Below are 17387 nucleotides of genomic sequence, written 5' to 3' on the forward strand. Positions count from 1 at the left end.
TGGGGAAGGGTTCCTGAGAACCAGCATTAGAGGAATAATACTATACTGAGGTAGATTTGTGGGTGTAATATCAAGTGACGGGAAAGTGGATAAAAAATATGAATGTCAAAGAGGAAAGTGACACGTGAGCAGAGTAAACGTCTCTAATGACACTCAGAAATCTGTCCAGGTTTTTTATTTTTTTATTTTTTTAAATGTTTGTGGTACTATAGTTGTTACACGTGAATTCAACATTTTGGTTTGGGTTGTTTATCTTTTACTGTGATAATCAATTTGCTTGTAAAATTTACTTTCTCCAATACCAAAATAACAACTCTTAGCCTCATATTCTACATTAACGAACAGACCTTAGTGATCCAATTATTTTTTGTGTATAAATCCACATTCATCTTATATGTCTTGTTGTGATTTTGTATTTTAATATAGCTGTTGACCTTTCTTATTTGCATTTAATGTTATGATTGATTTTATATCATTCTCTATCACTCTGTGTTCATTTTTTGATGCTATTGACTTGCTCTTTGTATTCATGTTTCTCTAGATGACTTCAAAATGCGTACACTGAGCCAGAAAATAATTTGATCTACTTCTCTAACATCATTATATGCCACTAACATTTGTCTGAAACTTTAAGTTTCATACAGTATTTTTATAAAGCATTATTGTGTGCATATTAATCCAATTGCCTCCAATATTTCCTAATAGAAATAACAATTGCTATTCCCAGTACTTGCCCTGTCTTAATCTTGCATCTGAGCAACCAGAGAATATTACTAATGTGGGTGGGCCTCATCCAATTAATTAAAGACCTACATAGAATGAAAAGGCTGAATAAGAGGAAACTCCTGCTGCCTGACTGCTTTGAGTTGGGTCATTGGTTCTTTCCTCTCTTCAGACTCAAACTGAAACATCAGCTCTTTCTGGGTCTCAGGCCGGCCAGCATTTGAACTGAATTACTCCATTGACTCTCCTGGGCCTTCAGCTTGCTAATTTCAAATCTTGGGACATGTCAGCTTTCATAACTGTGTGATCCAATTTCTTTTTTCTTTTGGAGACGGAGTCTCGCTCTGTCGCCCAGGCTGGAGTGCAGTAGCGTCATCTCGGCTCACTGCAACCTCCGCCTCCCGGGTTCAAGCCATTCTCCTGCCTCAGCCTCCTGAATAGCTGGGACTACAGGCGCACGACGCCATGCCCGGCTAATTTTTTTGTATTTTTTAGTAGAGACGGGGTTTCACCGTGTTGCCCAGGCTGGTCTCAAACTCCTGACCTCAGGTGATCCTCCCGACTTGGCCTCCCAAACTGCTAGAATTACAGGGGTGAGCCACTGCGCCCGGCACCAATTTCTTATATCTTTGTCATATATATATGACAAGCAATCCTGAATTGTTAATGTTGGGAATGCCATCTGCCATATTATTCAAATATCAGAAGAGGCTCAAATGATCTCTGTTATACGTTGGCAATAATAGCAGGAGTTTCTTCCTAAATTTTAACTATGTCCTACTGTGTTGTCCTCAGTAGAAAAGGATATCCATGCTCCGTGAAAAATTTCATCATATTTCTGAAGACCATATTTAAATCCTCCTCAGGTGTTCTCTCCTTTATTCTGAAGCATTTCACTTTCTTCGTCCTCTCGTCACAGGTCTTAACTTTCTTTCTTTGTTTTCACATGAACCCTAGCAATGTCCTCCCCTATCCTTTATGTTTTATAAGTAACGAATCACACAGCACTCAATTAAGCATGTAAGTCTGTCTCCCTGTATTGTGGTCAGTTTGTTACTTGTTAGAATCCAGGTATCATTTCCTGATTTCCTTATATCTAAACAGATGTTCCCTGCTCTTTCTCTCTGGGCCTATTTTATTCCTGCCCTGGTCATTCTTTCCGCCAGTGACTTCTCCAGTGTACCAGCTTCACTTTAAATTCTGATACTTATGTCTACATGTGCCAGTGCAACCATTATTATAGTCATCCATTTAACATGTAAATTACTCAATTGTGTCAAACTGGTCAGAAATAGGAACAGAACTGGCCAACGAACAGAGTTACCTATAGACCTTGTCAAAGGTTTCTGTTCACTCTCACCCTCTGCTCAGCTTATTTTTCACTGTTCTTTTAAGGAACATCCCGTACTCTATCACCCACGAGAATATCAAAGAACTTATTCCCAAACTAACCATTAAAGGATCCCACTTAACAATCTATCTAGGGGATAGCAGTGCATGAATACACCCCAATCTGAATTATATTCCTCAGGAAAATGGGTAGCAGTTCATAGCCATCTAGCATGCACAGTGTTCCCTTCCATCTATATGAGTTTTCTTCCAGTCATTTGAGATTACTGTTATCACCTCTCTTTCATTTACCAAGCCTGTCTCTCTGTCATAGAAGGAAATTCGATTTGAGAATGCTTGCTTTTCTGAAGCCACACTTGTTACCGAACAATATGCTCCATAACTCAGGGTATGTGCAATTTGATCTTATGATAAATCATTCTCTTATTTGCCATATATTTTGTAAAAAGCTTATTTAGTGATGTACAGTTTCATTTTAAGTACTGGCAATCAATATTGCAATGTTTTCACATTTGTATTTGCATCTTTTATGAGTTTGCAAAAGTATACTAAGCTTTGAGCCCACTTATCATAGGATGAAAATAAAGTGCCTCTCTTTAATTTGACTCCTGACTTCTTATACAGCTAAGCAGATGAGCTTAACAGAGCTGGAAAAGGGACTGTTGTTGCTTATATAAACAGCTAGGTCTGCACTGTAATCTTTAGATTTTTTTTTTTTTTAGAACAGGCAGCTATTTCAGCCAATGCTTCTTTCATGGAAGAATTCATAATAAAAATTGTGTGTTCATCATGCATGTTATCTTAAAACTGCAGTCCCCTTTCAGTGGCAAAGAACATTTGGATTTTGTTTATTCTTTTAAAATTTGGACAAGTAACGCATGCCCTGAGTAAAAAATAAAATAATCTGAAGGATTTATAATGAAAAATGACTCCTACCCTCTGCCATGCACAGACACACATCAGTCCCACTCTCCAGAAGCAAACTTTTAATAATAGGTTTAATTTTTATTTTTTTCTAGTAATTCTCTTCCCAACTCTTTATAAAATTTATCTCACTCTATCCTCCTTCCAATTTGGGGTAGTATTAATTTTAGTCTTCTTGGAAGGGTTTCACTTTCTAAATTGAAAATTGTCTTTCCTTTTATTAGTCTTTCCATTGTCTCTGATCTTCCAGAGCGCTACAGAGAAATGTGATTTCATACATTTTCTGCAGGTAAATTCCTGCCCCTGCCCTCAAACCTTCTAGGATCTTCTTTTATCTACTGTGTCCTAAAATTTTATAATGTGTGTAAATTACATTTAATTAAATTATAATGTGTATAAATTAAACATTTATAATGTCTTTTTCCATTCATTTCTCCATATTCATTGGATCCTTTCAATATAATGCATGTATCTTTTTTGCAGCTTTAGGAAATGAATTTCCAGTATGTCTTTATTTCTTCCCCTTTATTTTCCATTCTCTCTAGAACTGCTATTAGCTAGATGTTAGTTCTCCCACATATATCCTACGCGTTGTTTATCTTTTCTCACATTTGCTACAGATTTTCTCTCTATTCTGAGACGTCATTGGCTCCATCTTCTAAAACTCCTATTTGAAATTATACATTGGCAATCATGTTTAATGCCTAAGAGCTCTTTCTTACTCTTTCATTTTCTTTTCCATACTTATTTGCTTTTGTGTTATAGTCAGTATCTCCTCATCACTCTGAGGATACTAACTATAGACTTTTCATGTGTTAATCTGTTTCCAGAACCACCTGTTTTTTCCAGGATCAACTGGTCTCTGATCTCTGTTATCTCTTAATCTGTTGCTGTTTTTGTCACATGTCTGCTGGTCTTTGGTTATGCTTTCATAATTAAAGTCAGTTGGTGGCCTACATGTAGATCTTACCCTGCTAGACTTTTTACTGGATAAAGATTCTTTGCACATAGATGGGGATTGTTAACTGGGAGATTGCATTTTAGAAGGCCTCCAATTTTGAGAATAGGGATACCAGCCTACACCACAGTAGTCTTATTTCTTCCCAGGAAATTTTTTCGTTTTTATTAAATAAAAGTATTTCCAGTTTGTCAAGTTTGTTCATATGTTTTTTTGGTTCATTTTGTTTTTGAGACAGGATCTCGCTCTGTCACACAGGCTAGAGTGCAGTGGCGGGATTGTAGCTCACTATCAATCCGAACTGCTGGGCTCAAGTGATCCTCTCACCTCAGACTCCCGAGTAGCCAGGACTACAGGTACAGGCCACCGTGCCCAGCTAACTTTTTCCTTTCTTTTTTTTGAGACGGAGTCTCACTCTGTCCCCCAGGCTGGAGTGCAATAGCGTGATCTCGGCTCACTGCAACCTCCACCTCCTGGGTTCAAGTGATTCTCCCACCTCAGCCTCCCGAGTAGCTGGGATTACAGGCACCTGCCATCATGCCTGGCTAATTTTGTATTTTTGTAGAGACAGGGTTTCACCATGTTGGCCAGGCTGATCTTGAACTCCTGACCTCAGGTGATCCGCCTCAAAATTGAACTCCTGACCTCAGGTGCCTCGGCCTCTCAAAGTGCTGGGATTACAGGCGTGAGCCACCACGCCTGGCCTACTTTTTTCCATTTCTCTGTGGAGACAGGGTCTTTTTATGTTGCCCAGGCTGTTCTTGAACTCCTGACCTCAAGCAATTCCCCTGCCTTGGCCTCCTAAATCACTGGAATTACAGGTATGAGCTACCATGCCATTTCATATGTTTTTTATTTTATCTAAGAGTAAAAAGCTGAATGACTTACCCTCTGCCTGAATGAACAGTGTGAGGGTGAGATATTGGATTATGGTGAGTCAACTGGTACAATCCATTCTGTAGCTAATGTTTTGTATAATACTTCCCCCACATCCACTCTCTTTTAACGTTACCTTTCCAACTGCCAACTTCCATTATTCCTGCTAACTATGAGCCTAGAACTCTCCAAGAATCATCTGGGAAAATCAACTTTCCCTCTTCTTACAGACTCCTGCTGCATTTCCTAGCCTGCTGTTTTCCACTTTGTTTTGTCTGTCAACACACATACATCCTCTTTCTTGGATGGCATACATTTCTTTCTTCTAAAATCTGAGATTCTCTTCCATATTTGGGGCTTATTCCTTTACTATTATTTTATTGCCCTCTCAGCACGGAGGGCAAAAACAAAAAACAAAAAACAAAAAACAAACAAAACAAACAAACAAAAAAAAACACCTAGGTCTAGTCTGCCTTCTGGAACTAGAAGCCAGGATAGATTCTTCTGTTACTCTTCCAGTAATGAAGAAATGCATTAGTCTACATCAGTGACAAACAATGTGTGGGCACTGGAACATGGGCATCGGCATCAGCTGTAAATGCATTAGAAATGCAATTTTTTCAGTCCCCCTGAGTGAGAAAGTCTTGGGGTAGAGCCCAGTGTTCTGTGTCCAACAAGACGTGATTTGTTGCATGCTCACATTTGAGAATCTCTAACTACACGCATGCTTATCCATCTCCCTATGGCTGAGGACACCTATTTGCACCTCCATTAGGCAGGGTCTCTTGAGTCCAGCCTGATTCCCAAAAGTTGCATTCCTCTTCCGTCATCTAAGAACCACTGATTTCCACATGAAGGCCAAGCCCTCTCTCAAGTCCTAGGTGCAAAAAAAATACAGCAGCACAGTCTCAGCCGTGACATTGGGACCCAGTGTGGAGCCTTTGACTCACCTTGTTTCAATTCCCATATTAATATCCCATTTGTGATAACCGAACATCTGCCTTCAACCCTGTTTTCATAATCATACTAATGTCTCAGAACCTCCAGGAGACTGTGCTACTAGCTCCTGCTCCAGTGGCTTTGGTTATTCCTGATATAAAATTCAGCAAAGTAGGTGGAAATATGTAGCCTGCTTGACTTCATCTCTCTTTCCAGATTATTTATCGTGATGTTCTGCCCACTTGTCAAAACACCTAGATACTGTGTTTTCCTGCCGTGTGGTATTGCATCTTCTACTGGCACTTGTCCTTCGGTCTAACAACTCAGGCCTGATGGTGATCCAATATGTAACCATAAAGGAGAAATCAACCAGTAACCTTGGTAGCATTTACTCTGCACCCTCATCAAAGAAGCTGACTGGTCACCCACAAAATCGATTGGCAACGGACACACGCAATTATGTGTGGCATGCCATTTTTAGAGTGCCATTTGTGAGTACATTCAGACTGGATCTAAGGAGGAAAAGTGCATTTGCCAGGTGACCTGCAGAGCAGCCTGCTGGGGAACGGTAAATAAGGGGAATACTGACCTTTCAGTCCCAGGAAATGACACATTGGCCTCCCTCATGGGAGTTTCTCTCACCTGCTTTGATAGAGGCCATCCTGCTCCATCTGTAGTGCTATTGGCAGGGATCCATAGAGTTTATGGCAAACAGCAATGAGCAATTATCTCACACTGAGCAAAATAGTGGGAAAGAGCTCCAGAGAAGAGGAAAGAAACCCCCTGGATAACGTGCAGGTGAGAACTAAGCTCTGATTTCTTTTATCTTGCCGAGATTCCTATCTAAGGGATCTGGGGAGACATGCCCTACCAACCATAAATTCTCATCAGATGGCTTTTATTTAAACCTATATATCATTACTTACTTTCCAGTCTGACTCTGGCATAACATTACGTGACAAAGAAGAAAGTCCAAGTATTTTATCCCAAAACATGTTTCTTTGCCATATATATATAAATATAAATAAATATATATTCGTTGTTGTATATATATATATATATATATTTGTTGTTGTTTGTTTGTTTTTCTTTTTGAGACAGAGTTTCACTCTTGTTACCCAGGCTGGAGTGCAATGGCGCAATTTCAGCTCACTGCAACCTCCGCCTCCAGGGTTCAAGCAATTCTCCTGCCTCAGCCTCCCAAGTAGCTGGTATTCCAGGTGCCCACCACCACACCTGGCTAATTTTTTGTATTTTTAGTAGAGATGGGGTTTCACCATGTTGGCCAGGCTGGTCTCAAACTCCTGACCTCATGATCCAGCCGCCTCAGCCTCCCAAGTGCTGGGATTACAGGAGTGAGCTGCCGCGGCCTCTTTGCCTTTTTTTTTTTTGAGACGGAGTTTTGCTCTTCTCTCCCAGGCTGGAGTGCAATGATGCAATCTCGGCTCACTGCAACCTCCGTGTCCCGGGTTCAAGCAGTTCTCCTGCTTCAGCCTCCCAAATAGCTGGGATTACAAGCGCGCGCCACCACACCCGACTAATGTTTGTTTTTCTATTTTTAGTAGAGACGGGGTTTCACCATGTTGGTCAGGCTGGTCTCGAACTCCTGACCTCAGGTGATCCGCCTGCCTCAGCCTCCCAAAGTGCTGGGATTACAGGCGTGAGCCACCGCGCCCTGCCCCGTCTTTGCCATATTTTGAAACAGCCCTGCAAAGCTGTCTTTTGTGGGGGAAAATCTGCATCTGTAAAGAATCTCCATTAACATTGCCAGATCTTTTTCTTCCAGGCCCTCCCAGCCCTGAAGAGATTAACTAAGAGTCTAGCACCTTTTAAAGGTCTGAGGAGGAAACATCTGTCATCTATTCTCTCTAAGGGCAACCACTGTAAGACTTCAAAAGAACCTTGGTCTCCACAATCTTTTGTCTTAACCTGAACATTTCCTTTCTATCATCCTAGGTCTTTAGACAAACTCATCCAATTGTCAACCAGAAAATGTGTAAATTTACCTGGAGCCTGGAGCCCCACCCCCTAACTTTGAGTTGTCCTGCCTTTCTGGACCAAACCAAAGTATTTCTTAAATGTATTTGATTGATGTCCCATGCCTCCCTAAAATGTATAAAACCAAGCTGCACCCCAACCACCTTGGGCACGTGTCCTCAGGACCTCCTGAGGGCTGTGTCGCAGGCCACGGTCACTCATATTTGGCTCAGAATAAATCTCTTCAAATATTTTACAGAGTTTGATTCTTTTCATCAACACAGGTTTCCTGCAACCTACCAAACCATAACCAGTGTGTTTGCTCCACTTGACCTTCCCCTCGTTCCCTGGATCTGAAAACTGTAAAGGTGACTTCTTGTTCAATGCATATTTTTTTCTTCCCTGTATTAATAGAACAAAGGGAATTTCTGATTCTAGGGCATGCAATCTAATGAACGAAGGGATCTTTTTTGCTTTAAGAGAAACACTCAATGAAGTCATTAAGAGATAAAACATGATAACCAAGGCCCTGATTTCTAGTCCAATTAATAGTATAATGAGCATTATGGATTAAAATCCTTTTTGGTTCAGATATTGTATAATTTATTCAGTGAAAGTGATGGATGGGCAATTGAAAGAATGTTATCGCAAATAAAATTTCCAGGTGGAATAATTTTTTTTTAAGAATTCACACAATCAAGCTATTATCAGTAACATATCAAGGTGCCAGAAAAACATACTATGAGAGGGAGGGATAATGTACCATTCAACTTACTGAATCTCTGGCAATTTGACATGGCCTAGAGAATCCTGCTATGTGGATTTATATATACATTTCCATTTACTGCTTGAATAAAAATATAAACAATTTGAGTGTTTATTCTTGGAAAACATTGTACTAGGTACTGGGGAGTTACAAAAATAAGCATATTTGTATTCTGAATGAGATCACTGAAATATTGCTGATAAAAAATACAGGAACACAATGAAGAGAAACCGTGAAACGCACTGGGGTGCTAGCAATGTTTTGCTGTAGGGAGGCAACAACTCCTTGTGCCCCCATGCACCACGTCTTCAATACTCATCAATTCCAAAAGAGGAGTGTAAATGTGGTGTTGGCCGGGCGCAGTGACTCACGCCTGTAATCCCAGCACTTTGGGAGGCGGAGGTGGGCAGATCACCTGAGGCCGGGAGTTCGAGACCAGCCTGACCAACATGGAGAAACCCTATCTCTACTAAAAATACAAAATTAGTCGGGTGTGGTGGTACATGCCTGTAATCCCAGTTACTTGGGAGGCTGAGGCAGGAGAATCGCTTGGACCTGGGAGGCGGAGGTTGCAGTGAGCCAAGATCGCGCCATTGCACTCCAGCCTGGGCAACAAGAATGAAACTCTGTCTCAAAAAAAAAAAGTGGTGTTACCTACTTTTCAATGCACCTCACCCAACCCTCTGGCTATTACTTAAATGGTTTGTATTTTTAATTCTTGTCTGCAAAAACATTAGGAAAAATGGATAAATTACAGAGAGAAAATAAAAAGACTTCACATTGTAATATTTCCTTTTCTTATTTTTTTGTTTCTATTCCTATTATTTGTTATATATTATAGAAATTCAAGGGGAAAAAGAGCTAAAATCATTATAATTTCTGGACACTCATTTTTGTTGCAATGTTTCTTGTCAGAAAGCATAGGTAATCACTGGAATGACAACAATGTACGGATTTCCTATCCCGAAAGTTACTTTGCATTTCACGGGACTTGTAGAATATGAGAGAGTCACTACATAAAGTTGTCTAAGTTGTTCATTATACAAATCTAGGGTACAATATTCATAGTCTATTATGTGAATGGGCAACCTTTGGAGTCATGGATTTTTGCACTCCTGAAAGTTGCTTAACTTCATAGAGGTGATTTGGATGCAAATGTGGAAGTATACTCTAGCAGAATGCCTGACCATTTCATTATTTGTATCCATATGCCTGAAATGCACCATCAAGTGGTATTTTCATTCTATCAAATATTATCACTATAACTTGCTGCTATTTAAATGAAAATCTCTTATTTGAAACCTCTGTCTTCATCGTCCCACCCTCCAGCTACCATACTATACAAGGTAGGTTGGAAAGAAGCATGTGACTCAATGGCATGCCTGGCTTATCTCTAGTATTAGTAAAGACACTGGATCTATGACAATTTCATTAAAAAACAGACAACATTTATAGCCATAATCCACTTCATGCCTGGAAGGAAGATACCCTTCACAAACAGCATTGCATAATCCAGGAAAACAAACAAGTATGTCCCAGAAACTTCTAGGAAATGAATGCAAAATACACCATACACATATTGAAGGTGAATTTGGGAAAGATGATTTTTCACTGATTCCTCGTTTCCCTAAGTAGTAAAAGTGTTTCATAATCTCTCAGTCCTTGTCCTCTTGTAACAGTCAAGTTCTGATTACCAGTGGCAGGAGCATGAGCACAGATGCAAAACACTGTTCAATTTGCATGCTTTTTCCTGATTTCTGAAGTGGTATTTAAAGCCAGTATTCTAAACACAAGAGTCAGAGAGCTGAAAGTTAGTTTTAAGTAAGCTTGAGAAAATTGGTTTCATTTCTATCTTTTGGTAGGATATCAATCCAGTAGTTTTCTGTTCTGGGAAAGCAAACATAATCCACTAACCTAGTGAAATCCTTTGAAACGTGGTCCCCTCCATGGACAAGGGGAAGTGACACAGGTCATCTGTTCATCTAACAATTTCCCTGACCAAGTCTAACTTCAGGCATTTTGCACAAGTATCATTTTTAGGCATGCCATGTCTTTATTTGGTCCTGTTTCTATTAACTTCTAAAAACATATAAATAGCGGAGGTTTCAAAGTCCTTGAGGGAACAACCAATCCTCCAAGTCTACCCCAAAAATCTATGTTCAGGGTTAACTGACCACAGTCTTCACTTGGGACACAAAAGGATATGACATAGTGTAAGAGACAACAATGTGGACTCCAGGGAAGCAGAGGGAGCTCAGTAATGAATAATTACAATTAAACAGGCTCAAGGAAAGCAACTGGGACAAGCCACTAGGGAGACCTATTGAAAAGGAAATGTGCTGGGCATGGTGGCTCACACCTGTAATCCCAGCACTTTAGGAGGCCAAGACAGGCGGATCACAAGGTCAGCAGTTCGAGACCAGCCTGGCCAACATAGCTTACTAAAAATACGAAAATTAGCCGGGCGTGGTGGCGGGCGACTGTAATGCCAGCTACTCGGGAGGCTGAGGCAGGAGAATTGCTTGAACCTGGGAAGCAGAGGCTGCAGTAAGCTGACATTGTACCACTGTGCTCCAGCCTGGGCAACAAGAGCAAGACTCTGTCTCAAAAAAAAAAAAAAAAAAAAAAATAGAAAATGAAATGTAACTTGGTGTAAAGGAGAGAAAAGTGGTTTCAGAAATAGAATAATTTGTTTCAAATCTCAAGCCCACTACTTACTACCTGGATGACCTTGAGTTAGTCACTAAAACTCTGAGACTCAGTTTCCTCAGCTGTAAAATTGAGATAATAATTCCTGTTCTGTCAGCTCCAGCATAGTAGGGTTGGTGAGTGGGCAAAAATTAAACAGTAGATGCAAATGTATTTTCTGAACAACGATGAACTATACAAAACAAAGAAATTCATTTTATGAGAGAGAGCGGTCATAGGACTGTAAAAAACAATCCTTGAAGTATAATAATAATAATAAAATGTGACCGGCCGGGCGTGGTGGGTGACACCTGTAATCCCAGCACTTTGGGAGGCCGTGGTGGGCGGATCACCTGAGGTCAGGAGTTCGAGACCAGCCTAACCAACACAGTGAAACCCCATCACTACTAAAAATACAAGAAATTAGCTGAGTGTGGTGGTGCGCGCCTGTAATCGCAGCTACTCGGGAGGCTGAGGCAGGAGGATCGCTTGAACCCAGGAGGCAGAGGTTGCAGTGAGCCGAGATCGCACCATTGCACTCCAGCTTGGGCAACAAGAGCGAAAGTCAGTCTCAAAAATAAAATAAAATAAAATAAAATAAATTGCGACCATACTGGTAGGAAAAAAAAAAAGCAAGAGAAAACCAGAAAAAAGAACAAGGTTACTCATCATTCCAATCCCAAGATATTTGGTGAGCACATCTTTGGTCCCAAAGGAGTCAATACTAAGCCTTAATAGAAATCATTTTCTCTTATCCCTTGTAAACTTTCGTATTCACTAATGTTTAGAAGAAGCAATAACTTATTAAATAAAAGTCTACCAGTAGCAGAGACTATTAGTTGCCTACTGCACATTCACTCTTCTTCCTCATAACAGAAACCTTGAATTACTAATGACACCAATATATGAAGGAAGAAAGAGAGGACAATTTAAAGAGACAGAGGGAGGAAGAAGGAAAAGAGTGAGGAAGCCCGCAATTCTCAGCATACTATAGATAGTGATAGCCAATGAGATAGAAGCAACGTCTCTAGGTGGGGCATCTAGGAACTCATTAAAGGGGACTGATTCAAGTGACATCATGTATCTTTCCTTCTTCCGGCTGCCCAGAACATGGCTGTGAAGATTGAAGTTGCAGCAGCCATCTTTCACATATGGAAGCCAAGAACTAACGTGGTAAGGAGAATGATCAAAAGAGCAGAGCAGGCGAAACCAGCATATCTGCCCTGGACCACCACCCCTAAACTTTTTTTACACGAGAGAAAAATAAACTTTTATTTCATTTAAGTCACCACGATTTGGTTTTACATGTTTCTTTTCGTTCTTATTAATACTCCATCCATTTATTACACAGAATAATGTATTACAGATGTTTTTATTTCCAATTTCACTGTTACTATCATGATAATATGCTATTCACATGTTATTATATAATCAAGATTTAAAACTCATTGATAAGTTCCTATTTTATAAAGCTAAACTTGGGTCAAATAAGATATCACATCATTACATCCAAGATTATTTCACATGAAATTCCCTGTCCCATTATCTTAATTAACATCCATAAGTTTCATTTTGCTTTTCTATTTTTTTAATATTACAGGCAAAGCCAGAACATATTCTATTGGCTTGCATAGGAATTAATGTTGCCAAGACAGCTGGAGAAGACTATGAGAGCTCATTGGACCTTGCAGTGAAGCTTTGTGTGTACTCAGGGAAAACAGCTGAGAACTATGAGGCCCAATTTACATAATAAGGACAAACTTGCATTTCAAAGCCACACTTAGTTCAAGCAGCCAGTCTTCATACAGTGATAACAATATCTAGTAGCAGCTAGTCCAACTACCTCTCTAAATATTTATGCCAGATTTCAATGGGAAGCTACTCATCAACCTGGACTAGAATTAGTTTATATGCACCAGTGAACTAAGCCACGGTCCCACTCATTTTCAGACATAAGAGCATAATTCTTATTGTGATAAGTTGGCATCAGTGTAAATAGCGTATACATTATTCCATTTTTCCTACATCCAAAGGGATATCGTTATGATAGAGGGATTCTAATTTATATTACGTAAAAATTAGATAAATCGGGTCACTTGTATAATACTTCACCATTCTGCCTTTGTTTGAGGTTATTTGAATGAACGCCACTTGTTTTATCTTCAAACTTAAAGATTTTTAAAGACAGAAAGAGCATCTCAATCATATTGTTCATCCCCAAAAGTACCTAACACTGCTTCAGTAAAATTTGGTTCAGTTGAATTCACTTGATCATTCAGCATATTAATGTGATGACTTTTGTATTTGAGAGACAGACATGGTTTAAAAGTACAAAGAACCCCAGTTGCACCTCTCCTTACCTCAGGAGCTGGGGTATATCAATCTCTCTAAGCCTTGGTTTCTCATTAATAAAAATGCAATAACATTCTTTGTCCAGCCCATCTCTTGGTGTCACTGGGTGGGTCAAATGAGGTAAATCTCTAAAATACCTTTGTAAGATATTATTATTCTTTGTTATGTGTGTCTCTGCAGTGCGGCATATCCAAAATATTTTTTGTTTTCAGGTTCTTTGTGACAATATTAATTTTTTCCTATATTTATCCCCAGTGAATCTTTGCTTTGTTTGTGAAGTCATATCCTCCAAGTACTACCTTACAGCATTCTCACTGTTTCCATTCCATGCATGCTAAATTTGGTCACTTCTCTAGTGGTGTCCTTCTAGCAGAAGAAGGATTTGAGGCTTCCTCTTTATATAATTACTTATTTCAGATATGAAACAAGGTCAGAGAGAAAGTAGAGCCATCTCATACATCTTCTGCAGAGGCCTTTAGCATTCAGTAATCCAAGGTCATCAGCAAGAAGGAAGAGAAATGGGGTAGGGGACTTGGGTGGGTTCCCTGCCTCCCTCACACGATTATTTTGTAAATGGATGTAAAAGTACCCTGTAAACTGCATAGCTAGAGCAGCTGGAGAGATTTCTTCCTGGGCTGGATTTAATCAGTGCGTCTTTGTTTGAAGAGTGGAGAGTTTTAGACCTCTGGCATACCCATATGCAAATGTGAATGCAAATTTCAAAACCTAAAAGAACTTGTATTTGGATTAGAAACCATTTGGAATTATCAACAACATAGAAAACATGAAAATTGTACCTACACATGTTCTAAATCAAAGCCTTACTTCAGAATTTTGGCTTAAAGTAATAGATAATTATATGATTGAAAAAACCATGGAAATGAATCATTTAATAGAAGAACTGGTCTTCCTGAACTATTTGATAAATGTCAACTACCTCAAGATCTAATTAATGCACATCAGCAATATAATAAGTATACGGTCCAAGATAGTATGGATACCCATCAAAGAATAGCATAACCCTGCTCTCAAGTAAATACAATCCTGTCAGGCCTCCAGTAATTTAACTAAAATAAAATTAGGAAAGGCAGAAAAATATTTAAGGCTGCTTCTCCTTCCTCATTTTTCCATGGGATAAAACCGAAGATTAAAATTGTATATTATCTTAATAACTGCTTTATTTATTTATTTATTTAATTTATTTATTTATTTATTTTGAGATGGAGTGTCACTCTGTCACCCAGGCTGGAGTGCAGTGGCACAATCTTGGCTCACTGCAACCTCTGCCTCCCGGGTTCAAGTGATTACCCTACTTCAGCCTCCCAAATAGCTGGGATTACAGGTGCCCACCACCACACTCGGCTAATTTTTGTATTTTCAGTAGAGACGGGGTTTCACCGTGTTGACCAGGCTGGTCTCGAACTCCTGACCTCAAGTGATCCGCCCGCCTTCACCTCCCAAAGTGCTGGGATTACAGGCGTAAGCCACTGCGCCTGGCCATAACTGTTTTAATTAGCATTTATTGAGCACGAGTTAATAGGAAGGATCAGATTACCAAATCAGACTCACATGAGCCACAGAGTCTCCCCAACAACATGCTTTACTAATAACTTCAAGGATATAAGCACTCAAAAGGCCTAGGTGAAGCAGGGAGAGGTTCAGGACACAGCAAATAGGCTTTGCTTCCCAGCCCCTTCCACCCCACATTAGAGATGCACTCACTGGCTTGTGGTCAAAGATGAGGTCTTCAACTCAGGTATGCAGTCACTTCATATAGCAGGGAATATTTTAGGTTATGAAACATCTCCATTTACAGCCAGATGGGTACATAGCTTACACGACATTTTCCGGGAGCCATGCTCCTTAAATCCACGGACCCTAGATGTGTTTACCGCAAGCAATTCTCAACCAGAGATATCCTGCCAAAAGCAGTCCATAGAAATGAATTCCTCTCGTAAACACCATCAGTTTATTCACCAGGAGATCATTTATTAGCATGTTTATAAGGAGATCAGGCCAGGTCACCTGTCTCTTTGTTTTCCCATGAATGTTTCCCCAGTAATGAGAGACAAATGAAATGCAGACCAGCTGCTGAACTCCTTTGTTCCCAGAACATTCATCATGTCCCAAGTATAACTCTTAAATTCTTTACATGTGTTACTTCACGTAATCCTCTCAACTCTGTAAGGTAGATACCATCATTCCCTTTTCCAAATGAAGAAATTCAGGCATGAAAAGTTTATGCAACTTGCTGCAAGTCACACAGCTAGAAAGTGGCAAAACAAGGATTTCAGTCCTAGCATGTTGACTTCAGACTCTGTGTTCTAAGGCACGATATAGCTCGTTTCTGTAATTATAGATATTTCTGTGCTCTTTCTTTTGAGACTTACACTACACACTTAAGAAAGACAAAGCTTCTATAAGTGAGTTTTGATATCTTCAACTGTGATTAATTAAAAGGGATAAAAATTATTTTCTATTCCTCCCATTGAGAGATGGGACCTATTTCCCCATCCCTTGAATCCGGGCAGGCCTCTGCCTGTTTTCCCAAATAGCTAAAATAGTGGAAATGACACTGTGCCCAGCCTTTAGGAGACTTGGGTCCTTGGTACCCTGAGTCACCATGGAGAAAGTTTGATTACTGTGATGGAGAGAACATTTAGAGATGCACTGAGAAAAAAGGGAAAGTGATCTACCTGAGCCCATGTCTGCAACCATCCCTGCCAAGGGGCTAGACATGAGTGAAGTTGTCTTGAACCCTCCAGACCAAACTAGCTATCAGCTGAATATCATTGAGCGACCTCAATCAACAACACAAGGAGAAGACGAATCACCTAGTTAAAGCCTGACTGAATTCCTGACCCACAAAATCATGAAAAAAGAGGCACTGCCTCCCATTCTCCACGATGCACCTTGATCATGGAAAAGGAATCCCCAGAATAGTAGAAAAATGTTTTGCCAAAAGAAAAAAAAAAAGAGAGAAAAGAAAGAAAAGGAGGCCTCTCCCTGTTTTCCAAACCAACTTTTTCAAATCTTGTGTTTTTTTAAATAACAAAAGTAGAACTGACAAACTGTATTAATAAATTATATGCTCTTGTCTTAAAAGTTAAGAGCATTCCAAAGCCCAAGAGTCAGGAAAGTTAGTTCATAGGTGAGTTTGCAAGAGTCCAAAGCACAAGCAACGAGCGTGGGTGAAAATTTTGAGAGGGTCACACGTTTGTGTTTTCAAAGGAAAACCATGTTGGTGGTTTAAATTACACCAAAAAATATATAAATTGGTGCATATAGGTTAATATTAACCACATCTACACTGTGCTAAGTTTCTCAAGATGAAAATATGTCCATATTTCTCTGGGTAGGAGCTGTAGCTATTGCCTCAAGGCTCATGAACCTATTTGCCTGTCTCATGCCTAAGCCCCCATAACCTTCCAATTATGGATGGAGAATTTAATATATTTAATGTAAGTCCTAACTCTGCACAACCCCACAGCACAAATCTCACCCCTACTCTAAGATTTTTTCCCTTTTGTATGCTTGACCTTCTTATCTCATCTTCTCTACCTCTAACACTCTGTAGCACATGTACACACATTGGCGGGGCAAGAAAAGCAATAACGATGGTAGCAAGGGAGGCAGGATCATTCGTTAAGGCCTGCTTCTACTGTTAGAGCTATCACACATTCTATCAGAATGTTAAGTCACTAAGCATTTAGATCTGTTATTTGCCAAAGCTCTTAAAAACTGCACTGTAAGATGTCATATATATTAAAGATAAATCTGGCCCACTTAAGTACGAAAATCAAGTACTTTGGCCATCAAGTTGAACATTAACAC

The 17387-nt window shown here is 39.7% G+C and overlaps 1 long non-coding RNA gene across 1 annotated transcript in view, besides 1 other annotated feature; it reads right to left on the minus strand.

Moving 5' to 3' along the window:
• Positions 1 to 17387, minus strand: part of PTCHD1-AS (PTCHD1 and PHEX antisense RNA) — a 1100142-nt gene that overhangs the window by 928427 nt on the left and 154328 nt on the right. The gene's annotated exons all lie outside the window — the stretch shown is intronic.
• Positions 16250 to 16486: a silencer, noted in NCBI's record as "fragment chrX:23155798-23156034 (GRCh37/hg19 assembly coordinates)". NCBI's record gives its function as "represses an EF-1alpha promoter that drives an FKBP-Casp9 reporter gene in an ReSE screen in both phorbol 12-myristate 13-acetate-treated (for megakaryocytic differentiation) and untreated K562 erythroleukemia cells {active_cell/tissue: K562 | K562(+PMA)}" and the evidence as "EXISTENCE:reporter gene assay evidence [ECO:0000049][PMID:32094911]".

Source organism: Homo sapiens, chromosome X (assembly GCF_000001405.40).
Source record: "Homo sapiens chromosome X, GRCh38.p14 Primary Assembly".
Classification (NCBI taxonomy): domain Eukaryota; kingdom Metazoa; phylum Chordata; class Mammalia; order Primates; family Hominidae; genus Homo; species Homo sapiens.